The sequence below is a fragment of the Homo sapiens genome, chromosome 2 (assembly GCF_000001405.40).
Source record: "Homo sapiens chromosome 2, GRCh38.p14 Primary Assembly".
Classification (NCBI taxonomy): domain Eukaryota; kingdom Metazoa; phylum Chordata; class Mammalia; order Primates; family Hominidae; genus Homo; species Homo sapiens.
In genome coordinates, this window is record NC_000002.12 from 163182800 (window position 1) to 163189208 (window position 6409).

A 6409-nucleotide genomic window follows, 5' to 3' on the forward strand; every position below is an offset into this window, starting at 1 on the left:
AATATTAATTTTTCTCTATAAGGGATGAAACAAATATCTAAATTATTAGGACCAATTTACAAGAACAAAGACAACCGTCTTACTAAAATAGAAACATGTTTAGAGGTTAAAATTGATGTATTAATGTAATGTTCCCTGTGAACCACCAGATGTCACTATTAGAGTCATCATGCATCACCTTACAGTAAATTATTAGAGATTTTAGCCTCAGCCAATATTAACAATTTTGTGTTCATGTTCATTGTGTAGATCTTGCAAAATACCTTTTTCTGTTTTTATAAAGCATATGCCATTTTTACCTTTCATAATTGTTGATGTGAAGGATATGAAATCAAGAAACAAGAAATAATGTCCTCAGCCTTCAAATATGAGCTTAGGTATAATCATTTGAGAAAGATAAGCACCTTGTGAAAGTCTAGTTCACTCCTAAAAATCAGTACTTTTAAAAACTATCTTTTTTCCCCAAAGTTGGAGGTCTAATACATTATTACAGAATAATTATTTCAATTAAATTTAATTCGATTACAATTTAGAAGTCATTGACTAAAATTTGCAGGAGTTTAAGTCAACGCTGGAAGAGGTAAATATTAAAAAAGACATGAAAGTTATTTTTAAGAACCTTAAAATCCATTGGAAATGTAAAAGCTAAATTAAGATAAAATTGTAAAACTATGGAAATAGAATGAGAGGAGAGAGTGCCATTTAAATTGGGGATTGAAAAATTAGGGATGTTGGAGATTTTTTTTTTTCGGTAGGATAGGGAGGGAGGGAAGGAAGAATACAAAAGATACACAATTGTGACAGAACATGTTACATTCAGGAAGTTGTGTGACTCTAGAGCAAAGACTATGGTGGGTAGCAGTAAGAGTCTACTCTAGGAAGGTAAATTAGAACTAATTAATGAAGAACTTAAATGGATACACTGCTATTTTATTTTTGATAATAATTTCAATAATAATAAATTAATAACATTGCTAATTTTGAAGAGGGAAGTCATGTGATCTAATTACTGTTTTGCAGTCACTAGCCACATGACTATAGATGGATGCATGGATTGGAGGTATCAGAGACTAGACTTAGGGAAACGAATGAGGAGGCTCTTGAAATAATGAAGAGCCTTGGGTAGGAGAAAAAAAGGGAGCATAAAATAGAGAAAGTGGATGCCAATGAGAATTACAAGTGTTCCGCAAATTTTGACCTTTTAAAAGTTTTGCCGCCACTCTTTTTGGGGAAGACTTTTTGGAAGGCCACTCAATTCAATTGGTGGCAGAGTTAGGAGATTTTGTTCAATTAAAAAATGCCAGCTATTTATAGGGTTTCAGTCCTCTAAAGATTTATATGATTAATAGTATTAAAACATTTGCAGCTCAAAAACATCTGAAATTATCCTATAAAGATAGTTTTAGAACACTGTAATTCTTATAAACTAGTGATTCCAAATGCTACAAGTGAATTTGAACCAGGATTCAAATGTAAACAAGAAAATTGATTAACATGAAATCTTAGGTCAATATACAAATACCTTCTTCCTCAAAATCTGTCTCCAGCTGTCCTGCCACAATGCTTGAAATACCCACTTCCCAACCCACTAATGATTTGGTTCTCTTAATTAAGGTATTACATTTCTGGGACCGCATTCATCCATGCAACAAACATTGATTGCCTAGCATGTGTCAGGATTCTGCAAGTTCTTGGGGATACAAAGACGAATGAAATGAGATACCTGAATTCAAGGACCTCATAACTTTACAATGGAGCTAGAGGTGTAAATAAATAATTTCCATACAACTTGAAGTATACCCCTGTGGCTTTGGGAACATAAAGAAATTTACTAACTTTGGAGGAAGGAGGAAGTAAGGAGAGGGAGCTCAAGAAAAATGATTCTCAAGGTATCTGAAAAAATGAGAAAATCCTCAGGGCAAAGATTACTCTGATAAACTAACTCCCTATAGAATAAGAAGGACATAGGATGCTATTAAAACACCCATTAATTTACTGCTGAAATGGAGAAAGTAGTGTGACTATCCCTCCCAGTTTCCCTGACACAGCCCTGGTTTTTACTTATTGCTCTCCTTTCACTCTTAAAAATGTGCTAGCTTGGACAATAATTTTATTTGTGTGATAAAGCATATAAAGAAAGTCATAATAAAGACATCTGTGAGTGAATTGTCATCAAGATCAGTAGGGCACGTAGATCCAATGGTCAAGATGTAGTTATAATGGCAGGACAGGCAAGGAGTCAATGGCTAGAAGAGCCAAAAGAAATAAAATGAAGATCAAGGTATTACTGCAGGGTACTGTTCATCTGAAACATGATGAAAGTGTTGGCATATTTGTCTTGTCACATGTGGGGAAAAGGGAGGCCTGGAAAGTAATAGAACACAATGTTTAAGTGGAGAGTGTTGGAAAGCATGAAAGGTCTTTTATGTCTTATTAAGAACTATAAAATAACTGCTAATATTTTTTCAGTGTCTACTGTGTTGTAGGTACTGTACTAACCACAGGATAAGAAATAAACCCCTTAATCCTTACAACAACCATGTGAGGCATATGGTAGTCATTAAGGATGTTCGCTGAATATTTCAGGCTCTGCAACTTCTAGGCACTTAATGAGATTTCATTTTTTGGTCTCCTAGTGTTGAGTAGGGTCATATGACCAGTTAAAGCATTTAGTTATAGTATTAAGTTGTGGCATTATGACGTTAAGATGTGTATTTTTTTAATTCATATTACTGACAAGAAACTGATACTCAAAGGTTTAAGTAACTTAATCTAAGGTTACTAGTTGGTAAGTAGTCAGTGAATGGTAAGTAGATATGCCAAGATTAGCACCCAGGAAGTCTAAACAGATATAAACCTGCAGACTCTATTGCTATACAATATTGGATCACAAACACCCAAGACTTAATCCTGTTTATCCTAAATGACTCATACTGATGGTATTATTTCTCCTTTTCTTTCCATCATTAAGTCATTATATCCCCCTTCTCACAGCATAGACACCAAAAAGAAAAAAAGTCTAAGTAAAAAGGAAAAAACAACCTTTAGGATATTTGTCTGTTTTTGTTTACTCAGAAGTTGAAGCTCAGAACTCTAACAGATAGACAAAGTGTGATAGGTATACAACATGACCATTATGCAGCAGTTAAAAACAGTCAATGAGCTGTATACCTAAAACCTAAAATGGGTACTAAAAACATGGTGGATAAAAGTAGAAAATGGAAAGTTATCTAACAATATCATTCATGTTAAAATATATCCACATAAGTCAATATCCACCTACCAAGAACACAATATAATAAATAGCTACACATTTAAATGGTTGCTCATTCAGAGAGTGGTAAATGGGATTGAGGAACGGGGATAAAATGGAATTTTTAAAAGATAAACAAATCAGCCAGCCATGGTGGCTCATGCCTATAATCCCAGCACTTTGGGAGGCCAAGGCGGGCAGATCACCTGACGTCAGGAGTTCGAGACCAGCCTGGCCAACATGGTGAAACCCCGTCTCTACTAAAAATACAAAAATTAGCCAGGCGTGGTGGCAGGTGCCTGTAATCCCAGCTACTCGGGAGGCTGAGGCAAGAGAATTCCTTGAACCCAGGAGGTGGAGGTTGCAGTGAGCCAAAACTGCACCACTACACTCCAGCCTGGGTGACAGAGCAAGACCCCATCTCAAAAAACAAAAACAAAAACAAAACAAAACAGAAAGTTACCAAACCAACCAATTCACCAATATAGGGGACTTAAATATACCAAGGACGATAATGTTTTGTGAACTAACAATACAAATGGCTGAACTTTGTTTAAACCTTATGTATAAAAACAAAAGCAAGAGCCAAACCTCAGAAGAAATAGAGTACTAGCCTACCCACCACAAGATTTGTTTTCAGACTGCAATCATTTTGAAATATTTTTGAAGGAGCATACTATTTGAAAAAGGCAGAATATCTAAAAAGAACAAGAATCATTTATACACAGAGTGGGGAGTGAAAACTCTTGGCAAATGCAAATTACTCAACTGCTCAAAGTGGCTCAGACCCTCGTTGTCTACCAACAGATCAGACCTTTTGAAAAGCATAAAGAAACCCTTAATTATCCCATGCACATATATGTTCATTCCTTCTGCCTTGATGTGACATCTAGGTCCATAAATTGGCTTTCTTTAGATATTAATTATTTGTAGGTTATATAGAGGGTTTGTAGGAGTCTGGAAAACTTAAACACTGGGGAATTAAAGTTACTGTCAGATGTATCTCAAAAGCCTTGGGAAGTTTTTTGCTCCAAGGTGACATGAAACTGTGACAGGAGCTGCATCTCAAGCTGTTTGTCCAGCCAGACCTGGAGATTTGGGAGGCTGGTACCTGCTTTTATTTATTCATATGGAGGGTTACTGAATACAGATGCCAATGCTGACTGTGAGTTAAAGAGAAGAGAGGATAAGAGCTTAGGCTTAACCTACAGGGGACCTGAGGAATAAAGAGCCCCAGAGTCCAGCGTGGAGAAGAGAGAAGAAAGGGGAGGAAGAAAAAAGACTGAGAGAGATCAGGCCTAATGAACCTTTCCTGAAGTCAATGGGAATGGGGAAGTGGTGCCTCAGAGAGCAAGACCATACCCAAACAAAGCAGGGATAAAGTGGATCAGCCACAGTGTCACCAAATTTATCAAGAGTTCAAAAACTAGCAAATCAAAATCTGCAGGAAGAAGAAATTCTCGTGCAAAGCCATACACTATGTTATTATCAAGATGAAGATATGACAGTAAACATGCTACACACATATGTGAGACCAAACAGGCATGCACGCACACACACACACATACACGTTTTTGATGCTCACTCAGAAAAATCTAAGGATAGATTGTATTATATGGAATAGTGATATTCTATCTTTACGGAAAAGGGAATTTAGTTATGTAGTTTCTTTTTACTTCTATGACTGAAAAAGCTGAAAATGATGAAATGCTTTATACTATTATGAAGGAGTTAACAATAAAACCAGCAGGTCATTGATACCTTTCTTTCCTGGAAAATGCTTGGGAATCAAGTTACAGAAAATGCGGGGCTTGGAAGTTACCTCAGGAGAACAGAAACTGAAGGAAACCTGGGCAATGTGAGTAAAATATCTCTGTATTTACTGTAAGTGTGAAGTAAATGGATGCGTTCACCAGGAGCCAGCTGAAACAACCTTACTTCCTGTGGCAATCTTGATTATTGGAAATTGCCAACATACCACAAGCAATTTTAATTAGAGGAAACGTATCTTCTTGTCATACTTCATTTGTAAGCAAATGCTTTTTTTAACGAATATAGCATTATGACTGAGTAAATTAACTCCTGGTTACATTTGTATTGTATAGTTAAAAAAAAAAATTGACCATTTGACTCCCCAGACACTTACTCTACAAAGCATGACTCATTGTGGAAATAAAATGTCTTTTCCTTTCTTTCTTTACTAAAAATCAACTTCCTTTCTTAATTGTTTCTCTAAGTCTTTATACCTGACTCAACATTGAGCAGGCCAAGAACGACACATTTTCTTTTACAAACTAGAATTAAAATATTCTCTTTTAGAAACCTCCTAATACCAAAAAGTGTGTTCCAAATACTCATACACAATGTTGCATCATTAATGTCGCGTGTAAATCTACTGCAGGACATGATAAAAGTAGCAGGCCCAGTCATGTAGAGGGGAAGGATGCTTTGGCTTGTTGTCGTAATGCATTTTAGCAATTTGCCAGGCCTCAGAACACTGGTTTACACTTTCTGTACCACAGCATTTTCCTCTAAATTCCTATTTGATTTTTTTTTTTTTTTGGTTTGCTCATTTTTATGAAGAACGTTCTAAAGTCACCTATACAGTCACCTATTTTTTTTACCACTGGTGTAATAATGTTTACTGTTTTATTATGATATTCTAGGCCTCTGCTCACTTCTTAATTGATACTCTCACTGTGGTTATAGTAGCATGTTGTACAGTGCCAGGAGTCAATATTAGCTGAGTAAGCGAGGAAATAAATGAAATGCATTTGATGCTATTCTGGGGACAACTAATAATCTTTACTAGCAAAAAAAAGTTAGAGCAATGATCTATCATATTAACTAGATTATTAAGGTTCTGACATGAAGGTGTTATTCATAAAATATAGTTGTAATTTTAGGGGAAGAGAGCAGTATGGAATGGTGGAAAAACCACAGACCATAGAGTCATAAAAAGTCTGTTTAAATTCATGTTTAATTTCTATAACCTCTTGGGCAACTTACAGAACTTCTCTGAGCTTTAGGTTTTTCTCCTATAAAATAGGGATTAAAAAAATCTACCTTGCTGGGCTTTAATGAGAATTAGAAATAATATGTGGAAGATGCTTGGATGTTGAACATAGAAGCCACCAAATTAAGGATAGCTATTGT